The sequence below is a fragment of the Homo sapiens genome, chromosome 2, assembly GCF_000001405.40.
Source record: "Homo sapiens chromosome 2, GRCh38.p14 Primary Assembly".
NCBI lineage: Eukaryota > Metazoa > Chordata > Mammalia > Primates > Hominidae > Homo > Homo sapiens.
In genome coordinates this window covers 47,323,865-47,350,970 of record NC_000002.12, presented here as the reverse complement: position 1 = coordinate 47,350,970, position 27,106 = coordinate 47,323,865, and the positions used below count along the sequence as shown (strand labels likewise).

General features: G+C 47.1%; 2 long non-coding RNA genes across 3 annotated transcripts in view, besides 4 other annotated features; one reads left to right on the top strand and one right to left on the bottom strand.

Moving 5' to 3' along the window:
* Positions 5,897-27,106, top strand: part of EPCAM-DT (EPCAM divergent transcript) — a 152,670-nt gene continuing 131,460 nt past the window's right edge. Inside the window, exons 1-3 of one of the 2 annotated variants that reach the window (NR_110208.1) lie at positions 5,897-6,070; positions 17,945-18,037; positions 18,563-18,698. This is a non-coding gene — a long non-coding RNA (EPCAM divergent transcript). The remainder of the gene's footprint in view (positions 6,071-17,944; positions 18,038-18,562; positions 18,699-27,106) is intronic. The other variant, NR_110207.1, reaches the window with a different exon arrangement.
* Positions 10,587-10,881: a silencer, noted in NCBI's record as "tiled region #1814; K562 Repressive non-DNase unmatched - State 8:EnhW". NCBI's record gives its function as "represses a minimal TATA promoter and a strong SV40 promoter by Sharpr-MPRA in K562 cells {active_cell/tissue: K562}" and the evidence as "EXISTENCE:reporter gene assay evidence [ECO:0000049][PMID:27701403]".
* Positions 13,727-14,021: an enhancer, noted in NCBI's record as "tiled region #12385; K562 Activating DNase matched - State 5:Enh". NCBI's record gives its function as "activates a minimal TATA promoter and a strong SV40 promoter by Sharpr-MPRA in K562 cells {active_cell/tissue: K562}" and the evidence as "EXISTENCE:reporter gene assay evidence [ECO:0000049][PMID:27701403]".
* Positions 14,209-14,298: an enhancer, noted in NCBI's record as "active region_15731". NCBI's record gives its function as "activates an Ori minimal core promoter by ATAC-STARR-seq in GM12878 lymphoblastoid cells {active_cell/tissue: GM12878}" and the evidence as "EXISTENCE:reporter gene assay evidence [ECO:0000049][PMID:35858748]".
* BCYRN1 (brain cytoplasmic RNA 1) lies at positions 15,457-15,656 on the bottom strand. The gene has a single exon (NR_001568.1). It is a non-coding gene; the product is annotated as a brain cytoplasmic RNA 1 (long non-coding RNA).
* Positions 16,176-16,225: a silencer, noted in NCBI's record as "silent region_11463". NCBI's record gives its function as "represses an Ori minimal core promoter by ATAC-STARR-seq in GM12878 lymphoblastoid cells {active_cell/tissue: GM12878}" and the evidence as "EXISTENCE:reporter gene assay evidence [ECO:0000049][PMID:35858748]".

Here is a 27,106-nt window from a genome sequence, read left to right as displayed (position 1 = left end):
GGCGTGGTGGCTCATGCCTGTAATCCCAGCACTTTGGGAGGCCGAGGTGGGTGGATCACGAAGGAGGTCAGGAGATCAAGACCATTCTTGCTAACAGGGCGAAACCCTGTCTCTACCAAAAATACAAAAAAAAAATTAGCTGGTCGTGGTGGCAGATGCCTGTAGTCCCAGCTACTCGGGAGGCTGAGGCAGGAGAACAGTGTGAACCCAGGAGGCGGAGCTTGCAGTGAGCTGAGATCGCACCATTGCACTCCAGCCTGGGCGACAGGGTGAGACTCTGTCTCAAAAAAAAAAAAAAAAAAAAAATGCATTGAAGTTCTGTCTCTTGCTGTGCCCTGAGATTAAGTTCCTATGAATTGAAGAATTACTGCAAATAATAACATCATTTAAAAATCTAGAGGGGCCACAGTGGCTCATACCTATAATCCTAGAACTTTGGGAGGCTGAGGTGGGAGGCCTTGGAGGATCGCTTGAGCCCAGGAGTTCAAGACCAACCTGGGTAACATGGTGAGACCCTGTCTCTACAAAAGAAAAATAAATTTAAAAAAACTAAATGGGTATGGTGGCACACACCTGTAGCCTCAGCTACTTGGGACGCTGAGGTGGAAGGATCGCTTTAGCTTGGGAGATCGAGGCTGCAATGAGCCATGATTGTGCCATTGTACTTCAGCCTGGGTGATAGAGCGAGACCTGTCTCAAAAAAAAAAAAATATATATATATATATATATATATATAGATTAAAAAAATCACTAGGATGGCTGGGCACAGTGGCTCATGCCTGTAATCCCAGCACTTTGGGAGGCTGAGGCTGGTGGATCATTTGAAGTCAGGAGTTTAAGACCAGTCTGGGCAACATGGTGAAAACCCGTCTCTACTAAAAATACAAAAATTAGCCAGACGTAGTGATGGGTGCCTGTAATCCCAGCTACTCAGGAGGCTGAGGCAGGAGAATTGCTTAAGCCCGGGAGGTGGAGGTTGCAGTGAGCAGAGATCGAGCCGTTGCACTTCAGACTGGGCAACGGAGCAAGACTCCATCTAAAAAAAAAAAAAGCCACACACACTAAGATTTCAATGGAAATCTTGTCTTGTCAGTAAGTTCTGTTCTTACTCCAATGACATTTTATTAATTTGCATTCATTCCTACATAGCTCTAACATTGCCTTTTCATTTTTATATATAGATTCATCTTATGTATCCAATAGTAAATTTCTTGACTAAACAGGCTTTATTTGTGCTTAATCATCTGCCTTTCCAATCAATGTTGATTAGATTAGGCACTGGACATCTTTTTATTTTTATTTGTTTATTTATTTTGAGACAGGGTCTCACTCTGTTGCCCAGGCTGGGGTGCAATGGTGCTATCTCTGCTCACTGCAACCTCTGCCTCCCAGGTTCAAGCGATTCTCCTACCTCAGCCTCCCGAGTAGCTGGGACTACATACACACGCCATCACATGTGGCTAATTTTTGTATATTTTGGTAGAGACAGGGTTTCACCATGTTGGCCAGGCTGGTCTTGAATTGCTGATCTCAAGTGACCCACCCACCTCGGCCTCCCAAAGTGCTGGGATTACAGACATGAGCTACCATGCCCGTCCAAGAAAAAGATATATTTTTAATTTCATGTAGCCTAAGTGTACAGCATTTATAAAGTCTATAGTAGTGTATGATCATATCCTAGGACTTCACATTCACTCACCCACTCACTCACTCACTTCCAGTCCTGCAAGTTCCATTCATGGTAACTTCCCTATATGGATGTACCATTTTTAATCTGTTATACCATATTTTTACTGTACCTTTTCTGTTGAAGTATGTTTAGATACACAAATACTTACCATTGTGCTACAACTGTCTACAGTACTTAGTACAGTAACATGTTATGCAGGTTATAGCCTAGGAACAATAAGCTACACCATATAGCCTAGTTGTATAGCAGGCTACATCATCCAAGTTTGGGTAAGCACACTGTATGATGCTTGCACAACCACAAAATCACCTAACAACACATTTCTCAGAATGTATCCCCATTGTGAAGTGACCCATGACTGTACATTTAAGGGAATATAATGAAATAGGTGAGGCTGGCCAGGCGCAGTGCCTCACGCCTGTAATCCCAGCACTTTGGTAGGTCGAGATGGTTGGATCACGAGGTCAAGAGATTGAGACCATCCTGGCCAACATGGTGAAACCCTGTATCTACTAAAAATAGAAACATTAGCCAAGCATGGTGGCATGTGCCTGTAGTCCCAGCTACTCCGGAGGCTGAGGCAGGAGAATTGCTTGAACCCGGGAGGCAGAGGTTGCAGTGAGCTGAGATTGTGCCACTGCACTCCAGCCTGGGCAACAGAGCGAGATTCCACCTCAAAAAAAAAAAAAAAAAGAAAAGAAAAAAAAAGAAAATAAATAGGTGAGACTTTGGCCTAAAAACCCAGGGTTCTAAGAGGATTTATTCTTCTAAATAATTAAATAATCCTTGAGTGAGCCTGTAAACCACATTAAACAACTTTGAAAGGACATGCAGTCATCCTCTTTTCTTGTTTCCAAGTTTTGGATACATTTTTTTTTTTTTTTTTTTGAGACAGAGTTTCACACTCTTCTTGCCCAACCTGGAGTGCAATGGCACGATCTCGGCTCACCACAACCTCCACCTCCCAGGTTCAAGCAATTCTCCTGCCTCAGCCTCCTGAGCATCTGGGACTACAGGCGACCACCAGCACACCTGGCTAATTTTGTATTTTTTTAGTAGAGACGGGGTTTCTCCATGCTGGTCAAGCTGGTCTTGAGCTCCTGACCTTAGGTGATCCACCCACCTTGGCCTCCCAAAGTGCTGGGATTACAGGCATGAGCCACTGTGCCCGGACTCTCTCTCTTTTTTTTTTTTTTTTTAACACAGTTTTTCTCTTGTCTCCCAGGCTGCAGTGCAGTGGTACGATCTTGGCTCACTGCAACCTCCGCCTCCTGGGTTCAAGCGATTCTCCTGCCTCAGCCTCTCAAGTAGCTGGGATTACAGGCATCTGCCACCAAGCCCGGCTAATTTTTCGTACTTTTAGTAGAGACAGGGTTTCATCATGTTGGCCAGGCTGGTCTTGAATGCCTGACCTCAGGTGATCCGCCTGCCTCGGCCTCCCAACGTGTTGGGATTACAGGCATGAGCCGCTGTGCCCAGCCAATAATTTTTCTTAACAGCACCGAAGCTCCTGGCAGGCAAGTGGGTAAGGTGATATTCAGTGAGGTATAGATTGGAGAGGAGGTACAAGGAAGCTGGAGGAGGCTGATGGACTGAGACAAAAAGGAGAAGCCAAGGGCAGGAATTCTAGATGAGGTCCAAGGGCAGGTAAGTGAGAGAAAGGGAGTAAGAAAATGGGAGGAACCCGAAATTTGAGCAGGGAGATGGAGAGGTGGAGCAGTTCCAAGGGTTCTTAGTGTCCAGTGCGTGGCTGCAGCAGAGGACTGCGGAAGTGGATAGCAGGTAACCACGAATGGCTTCCAAATCTAAGCAGCCAGGAGGCCAAGCTGGTTTGGCTGGATGTGTTGTCCACATGGATGCTGATGTCTCTCCTGAATCAGTCAGGATTTGATCAGAGAAGCAGAGCCATTAGGAAGGATAGAGAATAAGGGACTTATATAGGGATGATATAGAATCACACAATTGTGGGAACTGGTGGAAAACAACAAGACTGCTGCCTCTGTATCTAGTTTGTTTAGCCTAAAGTCTCTGTGGTCTCACTGGCGTCGGAAAAGAAAGCTGGACCTGAATGAGAGTGAGGACACATGGAAACTCACAAGGACAACTGGAACCCAGGTCTACTTCTCCCCACTTTGAACCTACATGCTAGGAGTGCTGATGAAGTTCTGATGGGGCTAGGGGAGCCGCGGTCCAGATACAGCCTCATGCCGGTGAACTAAGCGTCACTGGAACAATGCATGGGAGCTGCCTCAGTGCCTGCTGCCTGCGCTTTACCTTCAGAGCAGTAAAAAAGAAAAAAGGCTGCTGTTTCCTACACCTTCCAAACACTGCAAATTTCTCTGGTAGCCAACGCTAACCCAGAATATACAGGGACAGGAATTCTGGGAAATGTTCCAGCTCAGCTAAGTTGACACAGAAGAAAGCCACTGCACTTCTTCAACACCAAGCACAGTGCCTACGAACAGATCCTATACATAGGGCACTTAATAAATTGTGGGGGTTTTCCATCAAAGGTACCTTTGTTTTGAAGGTCAGAAGGAACTACGGATATCTGCAACAACACGGAGAAACCTCAGAGCATTATGCTAAGTAATAAAAGCCATATATAAAAGAGTACACACTGTATTAGTCCATTGATACAGAATTCTAAAACAAGCAAAGCTAATCTATGGTGACAGAAATCAGAACAAAGTTGCCTGGGACAGGGAGGGAGTTGGGAGTCCCCTCCCTTGGGAAAAGGCATGAGGAAATCCTTAGGAGGTGATGGAAATGTTCTATATTTTGATAGAGGTGTGGGCTACACACGTGTATGCATTTGTCAACACTCTCTGTACCTCTAAGAGCTGTGCGTTTTATTATATGTAAATTATTATTTTTATTTTTATTTGAGACTTGGGTTTCACTATGTTTCCCAGGCTGGACCCAAATTCCTGGCTTCAAACTATTCTCCAGCCTGGCCTCCCAAAGTGATAGGATTACAGGTGTGACTCACTGTGTTCAGCCTATTGTAGGTAAGTATCTCCATTACAAAAACAAACAAAGAAACAAACAAAAACAAAATTAAAGAAAAGTGGTGCCCTCAGAGCTAATTACAGATTAATTAAACAACCATGAAAAACCTTATATCTGCCTAGCTGGCCATTTTTAAAACTGGCCTCATAATGAGTATTTTCGCTCTATAATTGGGAAAGCATCGCCAGGAGTCTCAGAAGAACATGCAATACCAAAATTCCTCTCCATCAGCCACAAGAGAAATCAGAGAGGAACAGAAGCAGGTAGGAGACAAAGGCAAAACTCCTAATAACAAGACAAGGAAAATAAACTCAACACTGAACTACAGAACTAGAATTTTTATTCCTTTTTCCTTGTTTTCAAAAATTTAAATTAACAGTCTGTTCAACAGAGATTTGGTTTCTAAACTGCATCTAGCTCTCACTGTACCCATGTGTGTGACAGAAAGAGAGAGAAAGAGTAACAAACGTTCCAAATAATGGAAATCATCATAAATGGAAGCTAGGGGAAGCAGTTTCACTGTACCCAGAGGAAATGGATTCCACAGCCATGCAAGGACCTGAATCTCTGTCCGGCTTTCACCTTGTCTTCTTGACTGGCCTCGTTGTCATGACATTTGCAATTTTTTTAAACAACATCAAAGAACAAAAACTATCTCCCTTCTCACCATTGGTCGTTACCTGATACCCATTTATCAGGGAGCATACTTTTCTGTAATGAATTTATTTCAGCATAGGGACAGCAACTTAAGGCATAAATGCTAAGATGGAGGCAGAAAGGAAAGAGGTTCGCCCAGAGATCCAAAGGAGAAGTGGGAGGGGAGACTCTGAAAGGCAGGGAAGAACCCCGAAAGGAGGGGCTGGGGGCTCGAGCTGGTTGTGAAAGCCTTTCCCCTTTACGCTTTGCTCTCAGTGTGGCGGGCAGACTGGATGACCAGGTGCCTTAGAGGTTCTCACAGGCACCTTTGCTTACTTAGTCCTTTTACAGCTCGGATTAATGTTTAACTTCCTTTGGGAAAGATCAAAAAACAAAGGCAGAAACTCACAGCCGGGTAGCCGTGGCATCCTCACCCCAGGGCTAGACTCTACAGCTCTTGCTCTTTGTCCCCAAGTCTCCTCCCCTCTCCTTTGTCTCCAGGCCCCAGGGGAAGGCTAGAGAATGATCACGTGGCCGGGATGGGGCTGTGTTCCTGGCAGTCCCCTGGGCTTCCTGCAGGGACCTGGATTCTTAGTATTTCAGGCTGCTGTCCCTTTTTTTTTTTCATTTCCTTTTTGTTTTTGTTGTTGATGTGACCGCGTGTCCACAACCCTGGGATTCCCTCGCCCTCAGATTCCAGAATCCAATTTCTTGGATTTCAGTGTTTTTAAGGTCAGTGGAAACTTTTTTAAAAAGCAACATTAAGCTAATATATTCTTACTGCAGAAAAGGAGCTTTGTTCTATTTATCTCTAAAACTGATGCTCACTAGTAGTTCTCAGATTTGGAAAGGTATTTGTACTATTTATTTATAGGAGCATTTATTTATAGGAAATACTGGCTGGGCGTGGTGGCTCATACCTATAATCCCAGCACTTTGGGAGGCCAATGTGGGCGGATCAGTTTGAGACCAGCCTGGCCAACATGGCAAAACCCCGTCTCTACTAAAAATACAAAAATTAGCTGGGCGTGGTGGTGAGTGCCTGTAATCCCAGCTACTCCGGAGGCTGAGGCTGGAGAATCGCCTGAACCTGGGAGGCGGAGGTTGCAGTGGGCCGAGATCGCGCCATTGCACTCCAGCCTGGGCGACAAAAACGAAACTCCATCTCAAAAAAAAAAAAAGGAAATCCACTAGATCGAGGTGCTTGGAAAAACAACCCATCACTAAGGATCCTTCCCTTCCTCTTCTCCATTAATACCACCTTTGTAAAGATTCCCTCCGGTACCACCCCAAAGAACTGAAGTGCAGATAATTATTTCCCAGAATGTTGTTTTTACGCTGGTGAAATTCAACGGCAAACATTTTACTAACACTCTCCTCCTTTTCCTACCTGAGGTATTAAAACTTGGAGTCAGCCTGGGTAATATTTTATAGGAAAATGCTCTTCATCACTGTACACCTGTGCCTACCATGGTACCTGGGGCATCTAGTAGGTGCCAGATAAATATATATGTACATTTTATATATATATATATATATATGTATGTATGTATATATAGTTTTTTTTTTTTTTTTTTCCCGAGACAGAGTCTTGCTCTGTCACCCAGGCTGGCATGCAGTGGCGTGATCTTGGCTCACTGCAACCTCCGCCTCCTGGTTCAAGCAATTCTCCTGCCTCAGCCTCCCAAGTAGCTGGGATTACAGGCACGCACCACCATGCCCAGCTAATTTTTGTGCTGTTAGTAGAGACGAGGTTTCACCATGATGGCCAGGCTGGTTTCAAACTCCTGACCTCAGGTGATTCGTCCACCTCAGCCTCCAAAAGTGCTGGGATTACAGGCACGAGCACTGCACCCTGCCACAGACAAATATTTACTGAGGGAATTAATGAGAAGAATCTGGGAGAAAAGAAGAAAGCAGAGATTTCTAAAATGGAAGAATTTCCCCTAGAATTATCCAGAACTGACTGTGTAATAAAAGTACACTTTTTCCTTCTTTGCTTAGCTAAGTATTGGGGAAACATTTAAAATTATTAAAAATAGAGGGAGTTTCGGGAGCCTGAAAAGTCTTTAGACCCCAAAACTGCTGGGATCCTAGGCCTTAAGATTCCAAAGAAGAGATGCTCTTAGACTTGATCCTGCCTGCTCACAGGCTCAGAGTGGACGTGGCTACTGGCTTATCTTAGGTCTAGAAGAATTAAGTGATTGCAGTATGCTCAGCTTAAAAAGTTGTCATGAACCTGGGGATGGAGTAGAGGGGGTTGGTATTTAGAACATCCTAACCACCCCTTTCTGCTCTGGTCTAGAAGGAGGCCAGAAACATTTCATAAAATGTTGTACAAAGTAGCACTCCCAGAATCCTGGCTGTTCAGCGAGGCAGTGCCGGCTGCTCAGTTGAGCATGGCCCTTTGGATTCACACGGACCTAAGTCCAAATTCTATCTGTGTCCTGAGCTGTTTAGCCTGATAAAGAAAAGTAGACACTGGGCCAGGTGCAATGGCTCATTTCTGTAATCCCAGTACTGTGGGAGGCTGAGGCAGGTTGATCACCTGAGGTTGGGAGTTTGAGACCAGCCTGACCAACATGAAAGAAACCCCTTCTCTACTAAAAATACATAATTACCCGGGCGTGGTGGCACATGCCTATAATTCCAGCTACTCGGGAGGCTGAGGCAGGAGAATCGCTTGAACCTGGGAGGCGGAGGTTGCAGTGAGCCGAGATGGCACCATTGCACCCCAGCCTGGGCAATAAGAGCAAAACTCTGTCTGGGAAAAAAAAGAAAAAAGAAGAGTAGACACCATGAGGCCTGGTAAGTATTAAGCTGCAAAGAAAACTCAGATAATTAACTTAAGCGCGGGGGAGTTAGTTGAATGGAGAGCTGCCCCAGTGAAGACCAAAGGTGAGGGATGGTGGGTGATGTGGGTGGCAAAGTTGCATGAGGAAAAGGGATGGACAGTTCAGGCTGGTGGGTCTTCGGGAGCTTGGCACAGCTGCTGGGCCCCAAGTCTATTTGTTGAGGCTGATAGTATAGTCCCAAGTACACCATTAATTTTTTTTTTGTTTTGTTTTGACATGGAGTCGTGCTCTGTTGCCCAGGCTGGAGTGCAGTGGCACAGTCTTGGCTCACTGCCATCTATCTCCGCCTCCGGGGTTCAAGCAATTCTTCTGCCTCAGCCTCCCGAGTAGCTGGGACTACAGGCGCCCACCACCACGCCTGGCTAATTTTTGTGTTTTTAGTAGAGACGGGGTTTCACCATGTTGGCCAGGCTGGTCTCGAACTCCTGACCTCGTGATCCACCCGCCTCGACCTCCCAAAGTGCTGGGATTACAGGCGTGAGCCACCGCGCCCGGCCTCATTAAGTTGTTTTTCTGCTGATTCTGACCTACTTTTCTGGAAGCAGCCACTCAGTCATTCTTTAGGAGCCGTGGCTACTTGCAATCTTATATCTTCCAGGCCCAGCATCCTGCAGCAAACAAGTCCAAACCATGTGCTAAGGGTACTAAAAATTCATTTCTCAAACCTCAGCACTATTGATATTTGGGGCCAAATCATTGTTTCTTTTATTTTATTTTATTTTTATTTATTTATTTATTTAGAGACGGAGTCTTGCTCTGTTGCCCAGGGTAGAGTACAGTGGCACGATCTCGGCTTACTGCAACCTCCACCTCCCCGTTCAAGCAATTCTCCTGCCGCAGCCTCCAGAGTAGCTGGGATTACAGGTGCCTGCCACCACACCCGGCTAATTTATTTGTATTTTTAGTAGAGATGGGGTTTCACCATGTTGTCCAGGCTGGTTTCAAACTCCTAACCTCAAGTGATCTGCCCTCCTCGGCCTCCCAAACTGTTGGAATTACAGGCGTGCGCCACCATGCCCGGCCAAAATCATTGTTTCTTATGGGGTGCTATCCTGCAGGGCAACATAGTAGGATATTTTGCAATATCCCTGGCCTCTACCCACCAGACGTCTTGCAGTATCCTCCAATTATGACAATGCAAAATGCCTATAGACATCACCAAATGTCACTGTATGCCAAATTTCCCCCATTTGCAAACCACTGCATCATACAAATTTTTCTCCATGAAATGCTTCACACAGGGCTTCCATGAGGATTGGAATTCATTAGTCTAGTTCCAGAGCAAAACCAAGAAACTCAGTATTGGCCAGGTGCAGTGGCTCACACCTGTAATCTCAGCATTTTGGGAGGCCGAGGCGGGCGGATCACGAGGTCAGGAGATAGAGACCATCCTGGCCAACATGGTGAAACCCCGTCTCTACTAAAAACACAAAAATTAGCCAGGCGTGGTGGTGGGCGCCTGTAGTCCCAGCTACTCAGGAGGCTGAGGCAGGAGAATGGCGTGAACCCAGGAGGCGGAGCTTGCAGTGAGCCGAGATCACACCACTGCACTCCAGCTTGGGCGACTGAGCAAGACTGTCTCCAAAAAAAAAAAAAAAAAAAAAAATGAAACTCAGTATCACTTTCTGTTGAGTTTATAACAGTGCTTCTTCCCAATTCTACCTTCGACGTGGGTAAGTAGATTCCTACTCAGGGCCCCAGACCTTAAACAGACCTGCTCTAGGCTTGTTTAAGCCAAGTCTCTTCCCATGGAGGAGGGAGTCAACAGGGCGAAGAGAATATGTCCACTGGAGCCTGTTCCCTCTCTCCTAGACCATTCTGGGTGCTCGCAGGACATCAAAATTTCTTGCACAGAAGGGTCAAGTCTACCTACAGGGCATACACAGCTTTTTCGCAGGGTCACTTCTCCAGACTGGGCCATGACACTGGGGTGGCCCACGTGGGGTCATGGAGTGTCAATGTAGATGGAGCTTAGATGTGTGGCCTATGCTATTTTTGGCAACGTAAATGGAGCTTAGATATGTGGGCTGTACTATTGCCCCAGATCCTGCAAATGCAACACAAGGGCCTGCTCTCTCCTTCTTGAGCCACCAGCTCTCTTACAAGATGTCATTGAGATCGCTAGCAACTCCAAAGCCTCTGTGTACCTTCTCCACTTTCCTCAATCTCTACAGAAGGTGGTGATAAGCACTCACCCCAAGTGGAGAACCAGAAGGGAAAATAAGAGGTTCCGAGAGCCCAGAGAATTCCCCCTCAGAGCAAGCAGGGGCTAGACAGCTTTGTACCTCTCCACTGAGCAAAGAGCACTACCCCGTGATCAGTGAAACACTCTCCAGGAAAACACCAGCATTCCTGGTAGATTTGTTTTCCTTTGCTTGTCTCTAATCGACACACAAGACCTTCTCTGGGCTATGGATTCCACAGTCAGATATTTAGAGAGATGTCGCCACTGCCTTCTCCTCAGTGAAGCAGTCTGGCTGATGCTCCCCCAGGGGAAATGAATCACTCTCTTGATTTTGAACTTGCACAGCCTGTTACTCACACCTTGGCTAGTGACTGACCTGTTCCATCACACCTTCTGTAGAGGCGAATCCTATGAGCTCCCGTAAGGCAGCAGCACCTGACTCACCTGGCTTCCCCACTGGGCCTAGCACAGGGCTCACACACGGTGCAGCTGCTCAGGTGTTCCTCCCTAAATCAATTAACTTTAAAATTCCACCTGGTTGGGATCAAAGTCATTGAGATTTATGAGAAAAACCAGTCCAACCAGTCCCCACTTCATGATTTTCCCCTGTGGCTCTTAGATCCTGAATCTGGTTTATTTTGTCAACTTAATATCCTGCTATCAACACTCACTTTATACTTGGCCCATGCATGGGTAGGGGCGGAGCTTCTTTACATTCTAAAGACTGGGAGCATCAAAAAGAGGAAGTTTTAGAGATTGTATTAGTTCCCTAGGGCTGCTGTAACAAAATGCCACAGACAAGGTGGCTTAAAACAACAGAAATATGGCCGGGCATGGTGGCTCATGCCTGTAATCCTAGCAGTTTGGGAGGCTGAGGTGGGAGGATCACCTGAGGTCAGGAGTTCGAGACCAGCCTGACCAACATGGAGAAACCCCATCTCTACTGAAAATACGAAAAAATTAGCCGGGCATGGTGGCGGGCGCCTGTAATCCCAGCTACTTGGGAGGCTGAGGCAGGAGAATCGCTTGAACCTGGGAGGTGGAGATTGCGGTGAGCCAAAATCATGCCACTGCACTCCAGCCTGGGCAACAAGAGCAAAACTCCATCTCAGAAAAACAAAAAAACAAACAAAACCCAGAAATATATTCTCTCTGGTTCTGAAGGTCAGAAGTCCAAAATCTAGGTGTTGGGCAGGGCCTCACACTCTCTGAAGGCTCTCAGAGAGCCTTCCTTGCCTCTTTCTTACTTCTGGGCGTGTTCCTCAGCTTATAGATATCTATCATTGCATGGCATTTTCCCTGTGTGTCTTCTCTGTGTTCAAATGTCCTTTTTTTTTTTTTTTTTTTTCTTGAGATGGAGTCTTGCTCTGTCACCCAGGCTGGAGTGCAATGGTGCAATCTCGGCTAACTGCAATCTCTGTCTCCCGGGCTCCGGTGATTCTCCTGCCTCAGCCTCCCGAGTAGCTGGGACTACAGGTGCCTGCCACCATGCCCGGCTAATTTTTGTATTTTTAGTAGAGACAGGGTTTCACCATGTTGGCCAGGCTGGTCTTGAACTCCTGACCTCAGGTGATCCACTGGCCTTGGCCTCCCAAAGTGTTGGGATTACAGATGTGAGCCACCACACCTGGTACCGCACCCCCCCCTTTATAATAAGGACACCAGTCATTGGGTTAGGCTTTACCCTAACTCAGTATGACTTGATTACGTCTGCAAAGAGCCTATTTCCAAGTAAGCTGACTCTCTTGGGTATGGAGGTTAGGACTTGAACACGTCTTTTGAGGGAATACCCACTACAGAGATGAAAGCACTTAATTCCCGCAGCCTTTGGGGAAACTGTCTTGTGGCATGTGTGAGCCTAACCTCACATCTCCTCTCCCCACAAAAAGCTTTGAATCTGGAAAGCTTAATTTGGATCCTAGCTCCATCATATGTGACACCTCGGATAAACTGCTTAACCCAGAATACCTTCAAATGTTATTATACTCCTCCACACAAAATCGAAGAGCTTTATAACAGTCTATTCTCATTTCTTCTCTTCTATCCTTTGGGCCATTATTTTCTTTCTTTTTCTTTTTCTTTTTTCCTCCATTTTTTCTTTGGAGACAGAGTCTCACTATGTTGTCCAGGCTGGAGTGCAGAGGCCATTCACAGGCATGATCATAGTGCATCACAGCCTTAAACTCCTGGGCTCAGGCAATCCTCCCACCTCAGCCCCCTGATGGGCTATTATGATTATTCATTTTATTTCTACATATGTTATAAACCTCATAAGGCATTGTTATTATTTTTTGCTTTAAACAGTTTCAAGTTTAGAAAAATTTTGGCTTTTTTTTTTTAGCCTTCCCTCATTTTGGGGGGGCTCCAATTATGTTAGACCACTTGATACTATCCCACAGATCACCGAGGTGGTGTTCATCTTATTATGTTATTTTTATTTTCATTTTTAAAATCTATTTTTATTTTGGCTGGGCGCAGTGGCTCACACCTGTAATCCTAGCACTTTAGGAGGCCGAGACGGGTGGATCACCTGAGGTCAGGAGTTCGAGATCAGCCTGGCCAACATGGAGAAATCCCGTCTCTACTAAAAATACAAAAATTAGCCGAGTGTGGTGGCACGTGCCTGTACTCCCAGCTACTTGGGAGGCTGAGGCAGGAGAACCACTTGAACCTGGGAGGTGGAGGTTGGAGTGAGCCAAGATAGCATCACTGCACTCCAGCCTGGGTGACAAGAGTGAAACTCTGTCTCCATAAATAAATAAATAAATGTAAAATAAAATAAAATAGAAATGGCCGGTTCAAAATTCATGAGAAAAACATGGAGAGGGAAGGTGGCTCCTGGAGGGAGTGGTGTGGGACCAGTAGCTAAAGGAATCCAGTTTCGGTGAGTTATCTGTACCATAAAGATGAAGTGTCATGAGCCCCTTGCTCCACAAAGCTTGTGGAAATAGAGAACCATGAATTAGATCCAGAGGCAAGCTTCATGAGGAATCATGGGTCCTTTTTTTTTTTTCTTTTCTTTTCTTTTTTGTGAGACAGTCTCTGTCGCGCAGGCTGGAGTGCAGTGGTGCGATTTTGGCTCACTGCAACCTTTGCGTCCCAGGCTCACCTGCTTCAGCTTCCTACAGGCAGGTGCAAGCCACCATGCATGGCTAATTTTGTTTATTTTTTGTAGAGACAAGGTCTCAAGAGTTCTCACTATGTTGCCCAGGCTGGTCTTGGACTCCTGGGCTAAAGCGGTCCTCCTGCCTTGGCCTCCCAAAAGTGCTGGGATTATAGGCATGAGCTGCCATGCCCAGTCTGAGATCATGGGTTCTTTAACTGTACCCTCTTCAGACCTTAGCCCAGTATGGGATATAAAGGAGCTTCTCAGGATAGATTGACTATTATTTGCAAAGGTAATGAGAAGTGAGTCTGTGCTTGGAACAGATACCAGAGAATGCAGCCTCTGTGATGAGATCATCTGGGCCCTGTGAAAGAAACTGTTTGGCAGAGACGGTTGCTTATCAAAGCTGGCTGGGTGTGTTTTGGCCCTGTGTTATCTGTTTAGAGTCAAGGCTGGCCTCAGTGAGGAGCAAAGAGCCAGCCAGTGGGTGGTCTAGCCTCCTGCACTCAAATATGTCTCCCCCAAAAGCTGAGAGTCCCTTTAGAATTCAGTTTCTTTCAGCTATTTCTGCCTGGTTCAAATGTGAACACCCTGTCCTGAATGGTGAATGAATTTTTTTCTTCCTCATTTGGGCTTCTAGTTGAAAACCACACCCTACCAGATGAAATGCAGAAGTGAAATTTGTGGAAAGTGGTCTGGGTGGAAACCCTCCTCTAAATCCCATCTGAGATCTCAAAGGACACTGGTTCTCAGAAGAGCCTAGAAGACAGAGATGGGGCAAGGAGGGGTCTCACAGCTGCCCAACACCAGCCAGCACATAATTTGGGCCAAGATTTGGTTAACTGTGGATTGGGACAAGGTGAAAGAAAACATGGCTCACAAAGGAAGTCCAATGGCACCCATGAGGCAAATGTACGCTGGGCTCAGTTACAGATATGGGGAGGAGCAAGTTTGGAAGTCGCAACTGTCACCATCAGGGAGAGCTGGGGCCACAGCTGGGAGACAGGACCTCTAGTCAGAGCTGCTGGTGCTTCAGGGATGGAAGACTCAGACGCTACAGGCTTGACCTGCCTTCAAGGTATGAATGATGGCAGGTATGCTGAGAAGTTTACTTGCCTCCTGCAATGTTTTCCCTACCTGCTCACAGATGCCTGACATTCCTTTTAACAGGGAACAGGCCTTGTATTACAGAGCAAAAGAGCAAGCTTAAAATGGCCATTGGAGGAGAGACTCATATCTGAGAAAGACAGCAAGAGGGGGAGAATGGTGTGTGTGTGTGTGTGTGTGTGTGTTTGTCTAGGATGGTATAATTTTGCTCAAGGCCATGGAAATAAGAAAATTTGGAGGCTGGGCACGGTGGCTCACAGCTGTAATCCCAGTACTTTGGGAGGCTGAGGCAGGCGGATCATTTGAGGTCAGGAGTTTGAGACCAGCCTGGCCAACATGGTGAAACCCCGTCTCTACTAAAAATACAAAAATTAGCCAGGCATGGTAGTGCATGCCTGTAATCCCAGTTACTTGGAAGGCTGAGGCAGGAGAATCACTTGAACCTGGGAGATGGAGGTTACAGTGAGCCGAGATTGAGCTATTACATTCCAGACTGGGTGACAGAGCTAGACTCCATCTCAAAAAAAAAAAAAAAAAAAAAAGAAAGAAAATTTGGGGTCCTGTTGGTGGGGTGGGAGGAGGGACAGCATCAGGAAGAATAGCTAATGGATGCTGGGTTTAATACCTAGGTGATGGGTTGACCTGTGCAGCAAACCACCATGGCACACGTTTACCTATGTAACAAACCTGCACATCCTGCACATGTACCCTCGAACTTAAAATAAATACTGATTAAAAAAGTAAAAAGAAAATTTGCTTTCTCCCCCACATATAGCAGTAGCAGCAGCATTTCAGAATGGCTTTAACTTCTCCCAGCTTTAAGAAGCTGAGGAAAGCAAGGCCTTTCTTCCAGGCAAGAATATGAAAAGGGGGGGGGGGGTTGTTGCTTTGAGGGAAGTTACGCTTATTTTTTTTTTGTCTTTTGTTTTTTTTTTTCCTTTTTCTGGAGAACGGGGTCTCGCTATATTGCCCAGGCAGGTCTCGAACTCCTGGGCTCAAGCTATCCTCCCGCCTCTTAGCCTCCCTGAGAGCTGGGATTACAGGCGTGAGCCACCGCGCCCGGCCTCTTATTCTCGATTGAAATTCTTTCATAGATCTCAAATTGTCGCTCTGAAATGCAGTACTTCCCTCTGCTGGCCATAGGGTTATATAGCTCATCAAAAACAAGGATGACTCCCAAGTCGTCTCCCTCATCTAAGACTAAGGAATTGACTCAGGACATGAGGTGGGAGATAAATCAAATATAGGATGATTTTCCAACCCTCACACCCCCTCAGAAAACATCCTTGAGTGTCTTTTGGCTCTGAATTTAAATAGGTTTATCTAGCTTCTCCAGCCTGTGCTTAGCCAATTAGGTCACATTGGCATGAATGTGCAAAGAACAATGGCTTGGAGCCCCACCCACCCAATTGCAGGACCTTGGCCCCCTCCCAAAACCTCCCTCAGAGATCCTGGAATACTTTCAGGGGGCGGAGGCTCATGATTTGGGGTTTGGGGCCTCACAGAGAGTCCACCATGTTCTTCTTGCTGGCTTCTGTCCCTACACCATCTCTTGGTTAAAAAGCCCCTCAAGGTCTCAAGCCGGGCGCAGTGGCTCATGCCTGTAATCTCAACACTTTGGGAGGCCGAGGTGGGCGGATCACCTGAGGTCAGGAGTTTCGAGACCTCCCTGAGCAACATAGTGAAACCCCATCTCTACCAAAAATGCAAAAATTAGCTGGGCATGGTGGCACATGCCTGTAATCGCAGCTACTTGAGAGGCTGAGGCAGGAGAATCGTTTAAACCTGGGAGGCGGAGATTGCAGTGAGCCGAGACAGCACCACTGCACTCCAGCCTGGGTGACACAGCAAGATTCCATCTCAACAACAGCAACAAAAGCCCTTGAAAGAAATTTCCCGCTGCTCTATTGTCCTGCCTGAGCCAGAGTCTGCTAATTCTCGAGTCTGCCTCGGTTGCAGTCCTGCTAGTGCCAGTTTCTGTGCAGATGTAGGAAAAAGGGCTCCACAAGAGAGGTGGAATTTATTCTGATGTATTTGTATGACCAAATAACAAGTTACATGCTCTCCATTGCATGGTGGTGTGTTTTGGTTAAAAAGCTACCATATCCTAGCAGGGTGGTGGTGATGTGTACCTGTAGTCCCAGCCACTCAGGAGGCTGAGGGAGGAGGATTGCTTGAGCCCAGGAGTTTGAGATCAGTCTGGAAAACATAGTGAGACCCCATCTTTAAAAAAAAAAAAAAAAGCTACCTTGCTTAGGGGGCTTTTTTCATTCTTGTGAAACTGAATTTCCACAAATTGATTCTGAAATCAGAGTGAATACTCTACTAGTATTTTCTATTTCTTTAAGATGTTTTATTTATTTATTTGAGACAGAGTCTCTCTGTCGCCAGGCTGGAGTGCAGTGGTGTGATCTCGGTTCACTGCAACCTCCGACTCCCTGGTTCAAGCGATTCTCCTGCCTCAGCCTCCCGAGTAGCTGGGACTACAGGCACGCGCCACCACGCCCAGCTGATTTTTGTATTTTTAGCAGAGATGGGGGTTTCACCGTGTTAGCCAGGATGTTCTTGATCTCCTGACCTTGTGACCCGCCCACCTCAGCCTCCCAAAGTGCTGGGATTACAGATGCGAGCCACCGTGCCCAGCCAAGATGTTTTATTCAAATTCTACTTTGATTTTATTTGAGGCCTTCAAAACCTTCCATAATGAAGGCTGGATATATCCCTTAGGATGAGAAATAGAGCCTAAAGGAGATGTTCTCAACATGACTCTCCAGTAAACAGTGGTAGTAAGTACTAGGGTCAAACCTCACCTTGGGGAGAAAAAGGGTGTTTATAGGTTTATGGGCCTTTCTCAAAGGCACACTGAAAAACACGAAACACAGGTCTCATTGTAGAGGCTGAGAAGTGGGAGCATATCCAGTTTTTAAAAGCAAATAAAATACAAGTTATTACTTGTGACACAAACAAGCCGGAACCCCAAGACCCAGAGGTGCTTCTTGGCATCTGGAAGAAGCTGATGCGGTGGCAGTGCTCTGAGTCAGGGGATGCTCAAGGATTACTCCGTAGGCCTTCAGTGATGTGTTTAGTGCTGCAGCGGGAAACTTCACCTCTCTTTTAACCCCAGTCTAAGGCCTCAGCTCAGCTCTGATAGGAGCTACTGGAAGCAAGTGACTTCGCAGAGGACCTAAACTGTAAGAAGTTCGCATTGAAAGCTGGAGCCAAGGTCGGTTTCGTGGGTGTGCATCAGGCATAGACAGGGCCTCGTGCTCAGAAGAGCTCTGTTCAAAAGGGTCCTGCACTGGGGGGCTAATGTTCTATGACACTGTCTTAGAATTCTTTTCTGTTTTTTTGAGGTGGGAGGTCTCGCTATGCTTCCCAGGCTGGACTCAAATTCCTGGGCTCAAGTGATTCCCCCGCCTCAGCCTCCTGAGTAGCTGGGACTACAGGTAAGTGCCACTGCACCCACCTTGTCTTGAAATTCTTAATAATTTTTTCGTTGCATTTACACTTTGCAAGTGAAGTCCAATGGGACAATGCAGCATGCACTGAGGGCTTGGAGTCTTGGCCCATGCGTGGTCTGCCTCTCCCTGCTTCCCTGGAACAATTCTCAGCTGCCTGTTCCCCGCTTCCTGGTTCCCCAGGCCCCACCTGACTTCCCCTTCCTTGCTGACCTCTGCCTGCTGTAAGGGCCTAGCTGTGGGCACAGGGAGAATTGGGGTTGAGCTGGTGTGCCCTATGGCATTTTGGGGAGAGGCAGGGTGGCAGCCATCCTTGCCCTGGGCTGGCAGCGCCATGGTGCCTTTGATGAGCAGCAGCAGGACTGGCCTCTCAGCCATCCCCTAGCCAGGTGCTGAGACTGCTTTGGAATGGAGATTTAATCCCCTGGAGGTCTCCCAGCAGCCATGGGTTGGGGCAGCAGGCCTGTGGGAAGGGAAGATTGACGGCCTCACCTCATCCTTGCCCCTGGGCAGATATGGCATGTCAGTCTGGTGGTCTAGCCAGAGGAAGACTCCTGGAGCTGGTGAACTGTGCATGGATATGCAGTCACGGGCAGCCCACCTCCTACTCCTCACCCTCCCTGTGCCTGTGAGGGTCTGCACTCACCCTGTAAGTATCCCTGTGCCCAAGGAAGCATAGCATCAAACAGTAAATAAGAAACACCAAGAGAGGGCAAGACAGAGACCACAGAAGAAAGGAAAAGTTTGTAGTTTAGTGCCTCTAATGGCACTTTTTTCCCTACCCATCTTTTCTTTTCTTCTTTTTTTTTTTCAGGGTCTTGCTTTATTGCCCAGGCTGGAGTACAGTGGCGCAATCACGGCTCACTGCAGCCTCAACCTCTTGGGCCCGAGCAATCTTCCCACCTTGGTCTCCTAAAGTGCTGGGATAACAGGCATGAGCCACCACATCTGGCTGAGGCCCCACATTTTCATTTTGTGCTGAGACTTGTAAATTAGGTAGCTGGTCCTGGCTGTAGCAGATGGTATAGATTCTTTTTCTGGCTCTGTTTTTGTGACATCTCAACTTACTGGGCTCTTATTAAAGGTGATTTAGGTGACTTATCAACTTTTCATGAGTACAGATGAAGAACTCTTCTAGGGCAGGGGTCCCCAACCCTTGGGCCACAGACCAGTACTGGCCTATTAGGAGCCAGGCCGCACAGCAGGAGGTGAGTGGCAGGCAAGCAAATCAAGCTTCATCTGTATTTACAGCCACTCCCCATCACTAGCATTATTGCCTGAGCTTGGCCTCCTGTCAGATCAGTGGCGACCTTGATTGTCATAGGAGCGTGAACCCTCTAGTGAACTGCGCATGGCAGAGATCTAGGTTGCACTCTCCTTGTGAGAATCTAATGCTTGATGATCTGTCACTGTCTCCCATCACTCCGAGATGGGATCGCCTAGTTGCAAGAAAACAAGTTCAAGGCTCTCACTGATTTTGCCTTATGGTGAGTTGTATAATTATTTCATTATATATTACAAAGTAATAATAATAGAAATAAAGTGCACAATAAATGTAATGTACTTGAATCATCCCTAAACTATCCCCTGCCGCCCTAGTCTGTGGAAAAATGGTCTTTCATGAAACTGGTCCCTGTTGCCTAAAAGGTTGGGACTGCTGCTCTAGAAGGTATGGGATTGGGAGGTGGGGGTCACACAGATAGCCACTGACAACCTGAGAATAGTGACATGGGCCTGTAAAAACAGATCAATAGGTATCTGTGGAAGGTATTGATGAATACATGAATGAATGAATGAAACAACAAACTAAGAAAAATGGCATGGCATGCATGAATGTGTGATGGGCTCAAAATATGATCCTCATAGGGATATTTGCCTTAGAAAAAGGAGGCAAAGGCTAAGCTGGAAAAATCTGTGGCAATTGAGAGCCCTTGGGGGCTCTGGGTATGGGTGGGAGGAATCTAAAGTCTCTCTGTAGAGACTGGTCTTGGGCCATCCAATCTTCTCTGCCCGCTACAGCTAAGCCTTTTTCTGCCCACTACAGCTTCCCACATGCTGCTTCAATGTTGATATCTTGAAGAGGTTCCAGCCTGGCATGGTGGCTCACACCTGTAATCCCAGCACTCTGGGAGTTCAAGGTGGGAGGATTGCTTGAGCCCAGGAGTTCAAGAACAGCCTAGGCAACCTAGTGAGACCACATCTCTACAAAAAATTTAAAAATTAGCTCAACGTGGTGGTGTGTGTCCATAGTCCCAGCTACTCAGGAGACTGAGATAGGAGGATCACTGGAGCCCACAGGCTACAGTGAGCAATGATTGTGCCACTGCACTCTAGCCTGGGTGACAGAGCAAGACATTGTCGCCCAGAAAAAACAAAAAGAGAAAATAGAAGAGGTTCTTACTGTACAATAGGACTTTTTTTTTTCTTTTTTGGAGTCAGAGTCTTGCTTTGTCACCCAGGCTGGAGTGCAATCGCACGATCTCAGCTCACTGCAGCCTCCGCCTCCTGGGTTCAAGCGATTCTTCTGCCTCAGCATCCTGAGTAGTTGGGGTTACAGGCATGGGCCAGCACGCCCGGCTAATTTTTATATTTTTAGTAGATGGGGTTTCACCATATTGGCCAGGCTGGTCTTGAACTCCTGATCTCAAGTGATCTACCTGCCTCGGCCTCCCAAAGTGATAGGATCACAGGCGTGAGCCACCTCACCCAGCCACAATAAGAGCTTTTTAATGAGAAGAAGACACAAGTCTTGATTGAGAATTTCTCTTCCTGAGAGGAAGTACCAGCATGTTATGGACCTTAGCTGATTTGTCTTTAAAAATCTCAAGCTGTAATAATTCCCAGTTGCTCAGTGCACAGTGAATGAGGCTGATATTTAAACAGAACGCCTCAAAGGCACCCGCTGTGTCCACACTTTCTCCCTGCCTGTCCTATGCCTCTCCAGGTGATGTCCATCTTCTCCTTGAAGCCCTCTCTGGCTGCTCCAGTCCCTGAGCTTTCCTTCCTGCACTCATACAGCATGAGGAAGGCTCCATCTTTTTCTAGATGTGCTATTTTTTTTAGCATTTGCTGTGTGCACTTTAGAGGCTCATTGCCTCTTTGAGACCAAGGATGGCACTGTCCCTTCTCTCTAGTTGCTCTGAGTGCCAAGCACAGCCCTGAACACCAAATACTTTGACTCTTCTGTGGCTACTCAACCCTCCTGGCTGTTCCTTCATCACCCTGGACCGGCCCCCACTCCAGGGTCTTTGCACTTGCTCTCCCTCTGCTTAGAAAGCCCTTCTCCCTGCAATCTGCAGGGGCTTGATTACTCTTCTCTTTCAGGCCTTTGCTCAAATGTCACCTCATCAATGCACCCTTCTCTGACCATCCTATTGAATATTCCAAATCTTTTTTTTTTTTTTTTTTTTTGAGACAGAGTCTTGCTCTTGTCGCCCAGGCTGGAGTGCAGTGGCACGATCTTGGCTCACTGCAACCTCTGCCTCCTGGGTTCAAGTGATTCTCATACCTCAGCATCCTCAGGAGCTGGGATTACAGGCGCCCGCCATCACACCCGGCTAATTTTTGTAGTTTTAGTAGAGGCAGGGTTTTGCCATGTTGGCCAGGCTAGTCTCAAACTCCTAACCTCACGTGATCCACCCGCCTTGGCCTCCCAAAGTGCTGGGATTACAGGTGTGAGCAGGCCAGGAACTATTGTGCCATGGATATTGTTGGTAGCCTATCCATCTTCTATGTCCACATCTGCAGGGGAAGGGGACCCTACCCTCAGCTCCTGGGGTGGTCCCTGGTTGGCACAGTCCATTCTCCTGAGCACAGTCACAGTCTTCAGAGGGGCACCTGGTACCTGAGCTGTCCAATCGGGGAGATTCTTGGGACTCTCACCAGTAATGTTGGTGTAGACTTGTTTCCTGTTCTTCCTGGAGACCTTGTTGGCCTGACTGAGCCATCTGGCCACCAGAGTGAGGATGTGGACAACATAAAGCAGAGGGCAGAACCGAGGGAACCCCAGATAAGGGGAGCCAGACCTGGATTAAGGCAACTCTGAAAGGCAAGACTCTCTGGATACTTTTTAAGGCACTTGGGGACTAAAATAATAGAGAGTCTAACAAAAAAAATTTAAGATGTCCATTATATTGTTCAAAGTATAAAGAAATATGGAAACTCCTTTGCTTACAAACTTCCAGCTTCCAATTAAGCAGAGACCCCAAAGCTATAGCCCAAAGCAAAAGTATGTTGCCTTTAGTAGGGGGCACCTGTCGCCGACTCCCAGGAGTGTGGAGTTGGGAACTAGTTGGCATTTTCAGTTTGTTCTAGAAGTCCAGGACTATGTATCTTGTCTTCTTAACCTGAATGGGATTCTCCCCAGTTCAGGGAACCAGCTGTGAGCTTTTTTTTTTTTTTTTTTTTGAGACAGGGTCTCACTCTGTTGCCCACGCTGGAGTGCAGTAGTACAATCATGGCTCACTGCAGCCTCGACCTTCTGGGCTCAAGCAATCCTCCTGCCTCAGCCTCCCAAGTAGCTGGGACTACAGGCATGTGCCAACACGTCCAGCTAATTTTTGTGTTTTTTGTAGAGATGGGGTTTCACCTTGTTGCTCAGTCTGGTCTCAGACTCCTGGACTCAAGTGATCTGCCTGCCTCAGCCTCCAGAATTGCAGGGATTACAAGCGTGAGCCACCACACCTGAGTTCTCTCTTATTGTAATGAAAGTTTTCAGGGGATCCACATTTCAGCTCCCTGTACCCCTGTAATCACAAGAGGGACCAATGCTGTAATGTCCTCTTAGCAAATAGCCAAGAGCACACAGATCTGACACACGTGGAAGGTATTGTGAGGCTGTGTTCTGAAAAGGAATAGTAAACTAGGAAAAGTTTCTCTTCAAACAAACAAACAAAAACCTGCCCTCTGACAAGCAGGTGCTTCTCTCAGGTTCTTGGCTTCCCAGTTTACTACCTGGCATATCTGTAGCAAATGGTCGCTGAGAACCTGGAAGCAATTCCTCATTTGCAAGTCAATGGCAGATTTTTTTTTTTTCCTTTTTGAGACAGTCTCGCTTTGTTGCCCAGGCTAGAGTGTATGGTGTGATCTCAGCTCACTGCAACCTCAGCCTCCTGGGTTCAAGTGATCCATTCTCCTGCCTCAGCCTCCCGAGTAGCTGGGACTACAGGCATGTGCCACCATGCCCAGCTAATTTTTGTATTTTTAGTAGAAACGGGGTTTTGCCATGTTGGCCAGGCTGCTCTCGAATTCCTGACCTCAAGTGATCCCCTCGCCTTGGCCTCCCAAAATGCTGGGATTACAGGCATGAACCACCACACCGGCCAATTTTTTGTGGTTTTCGTAGAGACAGGATTTCATTACGTTGGCCAAATTGGTCTCAAACTCCTGTCCTCGTGATCCACCCGCCTCGGCTCTCCAAAGTGCTGGGGGATTACAGGCGTGAGCCAATGCGCCAGGCCAATAATCACTGCTGGCATTCTTGAGTGCCCATATGTGCCACACACTGTTTTTGCAAAAATTATAACTGAAGAAATTATGACAGTGAAAGAGATCAGACCTAACCAACTCCATCTTGCTTCTAACCTTTAAGCTGTCCTTGTACATTCCTGGGCATAGGCCGAACTAACTTTGGGAAGGAATTCTGTTCATGGTTTGACTCCGAAACAAAATTGATAACAGCCCTTTTCCAAGGCCCCCTTCTTGCCTGGGGACCAGTCTGCCTTTGCAGGGCTAACACATTAGCTACAAGATTAGAAATTACGGGTTAGTGGTAATGCAGCCTCTGGCTCCAAGAGTCTGAACCTCCTCAAATTGCTCCTGGGGATAACATCACTATTGTAAAACCTAAGATCAGTGCTTGAGATATTTTGTAGACCCTGCACTTGATGGATCAGCTGACATCACCCGGACTGGTTATCTGGCTCAACCTGTTCTGCCATCCCACCCAGGAACAGAAGACAGTAAGAAAAACTCACTTTGACCCCATATGATTCCATCTCCAACCTGATCCATCAGCACTCCCCACTTCCCGAGCCCCTACCCGCCAAATTATCTTTAAAAACTCTGCTCTCCGAATGCTCCGGGAGACTGATTTGAGTAATAATAAAACTCCAGTCTCCCTCTCCCGCACAGCCAGCTGTGTGTGAATTACTCTTTCTCCACTGCAATTCCCCTGTCTTGATAAATTAGCTCTGTCTAGGCAGCAGGCAAGGTGAACCCACTGGGCAGTTACATATTTACATTTATTTATTTGTTTGTTGAGACAAGGTCTGTCACCCAGCCTGGGGTGCAGTGATGTGATCTCTGCTCACTGCAGCCTTGACTTCCCGGGCTCAAGCCATCCTCCCACCTCAGCCTCCCAAGTAGCTGGGACTACAGGTGCACGACACCATGCCTGGTTAATTTTCATATTTTTTGTAGAGGTGGGGTTTCACCATATTGCCCAGGCTGGCCTCAAACTCCTGGACTCAAGAGATCCCTCTGCCTCAGCCTCCCAAAGTGCTAGGATTACAGGCAGGAGCCACCGTTCCCAGCCCTTGCCTTACATTTAATCTTCACTATTAATACACACATGTTATAAATGAGAGCATCAAAGTATGGAGAGCAGAAGCAACTTGTCCAAGGTCATACGCAACTAGAAAGGAGTGTAACTGATATTTAAACCCTAACAGTCTGGTTCCAGAATCTGTGCTTTTAAAGTCAAGATGAAAAGCATGTCTGGGCCTTGACCCTTGGAACCCACCCCTACCACACAGGCTTTAGCTAGCAGAGGGGCAGCAAAGGAAGACAGCAAGAGGTGGCCTCTGGTCGTAGCTCTTTGTGGTTTGCCAAGGCTTTCTGGTTCACTGACTCAAAAGGGTTTGGGGCTTTACAGACTGGTAAGATCTCCCAAACTGGGTAGTTGTACTTTAATTTTGTTAAGTAAAAACATTTTTAAAAATCTGCTAACATCACTATCATTTCATAAAGTAAATGTAATTTCAATGCAAATAAACCCCAAGAAAGACACAATCTCAGAGTACAGTCCAGGCCTTTAGGTTGAATAAATCTACCTTTGTAAACACCTCCTTTCGTTGTCCTGATTTTCCTCATCTCACCGTGGGCTGGTGAAAACGTCCTCATGTGTAGCACCTGTTTAAGGACTGCCATCCAGGAACCACTGTGGTACTTCATACGATCCCCATAAACCCTCTGCAAGGTAGACAGGGAAAGTCTTGTTTACCCCACTCTACTAACGAAGAAATCGAGGCTCAGAGAAGTCTTGTTTAAGGACACACAGCCTGAAAAATGGCAGGGCCAGGTTACAAACCCATGTTTTCAGACTGCAGGGGTCCAGTGCTCTTTCCTTCTATACCTCAAAGCGTTCACAAAATGCACTCACTGACCACTGGCTTGGTTGCTGTGTGAGGACCTAAATGTTCAGAAAGAGAAGAAGCATTTCCAAGTGCCATTTCCATTGAATGGAGTAGTGCAGCTGGCTGAAAGGTAGCCCCTGGATTCAGGGCGAGATGGGAAGCCCCTCAGGGGCAAGGTCGGAGTACATTTCCTCTTTCATTCCCGGGCTCAGCCCACACAGGGATGAGCATACGGGGCTGGCAACAAGTCCTTGCAGCTTAGAAGTGTGAGTGTGGTTTCTATTTATTTATTTTTAATTAAGAAATTTTTTTTTAGAGACAGGGTCTTGCCATGTAGTCCAGGCTGGTCTCAAACTCCTGGGCTCAAGCTCTCCTCTCACTTCGTCCTCCCAAAGTGCTGGGATTACAGGCGAGAGCCACTGGGCCTGACTGGAGTATGCTTTTTTTGGTTTGTTTTTGAGACGAAGTCTTGCGCTGTCCCCCAGGCTGAAGTTCAGTGGTGTGATCTCAGCTCACTGCAACCTCCACCTCCCGGATTCAAGCGATTCTCCTGCCTCAGCCTCCTGAGCAGCTGGGATTACAGGCATGTGCCACCATGCTCAGCTATTTTTCATTATTTTTAGTAGAGACGAGGTTTCACCATACTGGCCAGGCTGGTCTCGAACTCCTGACCTCAGGTGATCCGCCCACCTCAGCCTCCCAAAATGCTGGGATTACAGGTGTGAGCCACTGAACCTGCCCTGGAGTATGGTTTTAAATGCTAGTTTTTATCTAACAGAATTTTACTGTGGTAAGAAGGGAGGAAGAAAAAAAATCCCAGACTTAATTTGAGAGGATGTTACTGGGAGTTGGGAGAAAAGGATGAAATCCAGAGAAGACTTGATGGAGGCACCCTGGGCAGTGAGGGGAGGAGGGAGGCAGCAAAAGGGGCCTTATCCCTGAAGGAGGACAGCTGGCAGGGAGGCAGGAGCATTGTCTGTGGTGTCCCACTGTCTTAGGATCAAGACCACACCCCTGATATTGCCCCCCAGTGCCTAAGGCCTTGCCCTGCCTACTGCCCTAGTGTCACCTGCACTACTCTTGTTCTGGGTTTCTGAGCTCCAGACACATTTCCTTAAAGATATCCCCATGGGACCCCACCTCGGGGCCTTTTTGTTTTTTTGTTTGTTTGTTGTTTTTTTTTTTTGGCAGGGTCTTGCTCTGTTGTCTAGGCTGGAGTGTAGTGGCACAATCACAGTTCACTGCAGCCTCTACGTCCTGGGCTCAGGCAATCCTCCATCTCAGCCTCCTGAGTGGCTGAGACTACAGGTGCACACTGCTATACCCAGCTATTTTTTTTTTTTTTTTGTAGAGACAGGGTTTTGCCATGTTGCCCAGGCTGGTCTCGAACTCCTGGGCTCAAGCCATCCTCCTGCCTCGGCTTCCCAAAGTGCTGGGATTACAGGTGTGAGCCACTGTGCCGGGCCCACCTCAGAGCCTTTGAGCATGGCATTCCCGCTCCTGGGTTTCCACCAGTACTTACTAATGCCTATTCATCTTTTGGTGACTTCCCTGACTCCTATCTACCAGCTGGAGGCGTAGACAGCCCAGAGCCACATCAGCCCACTTCCAGAAGCAGTGAGCATTTCAATGTCCACAGTGTGCACAGGCCCCAGGGGCAGTGGCTTCACCAGGAGGTGCTCATGAAGCCCACAGTAGCACC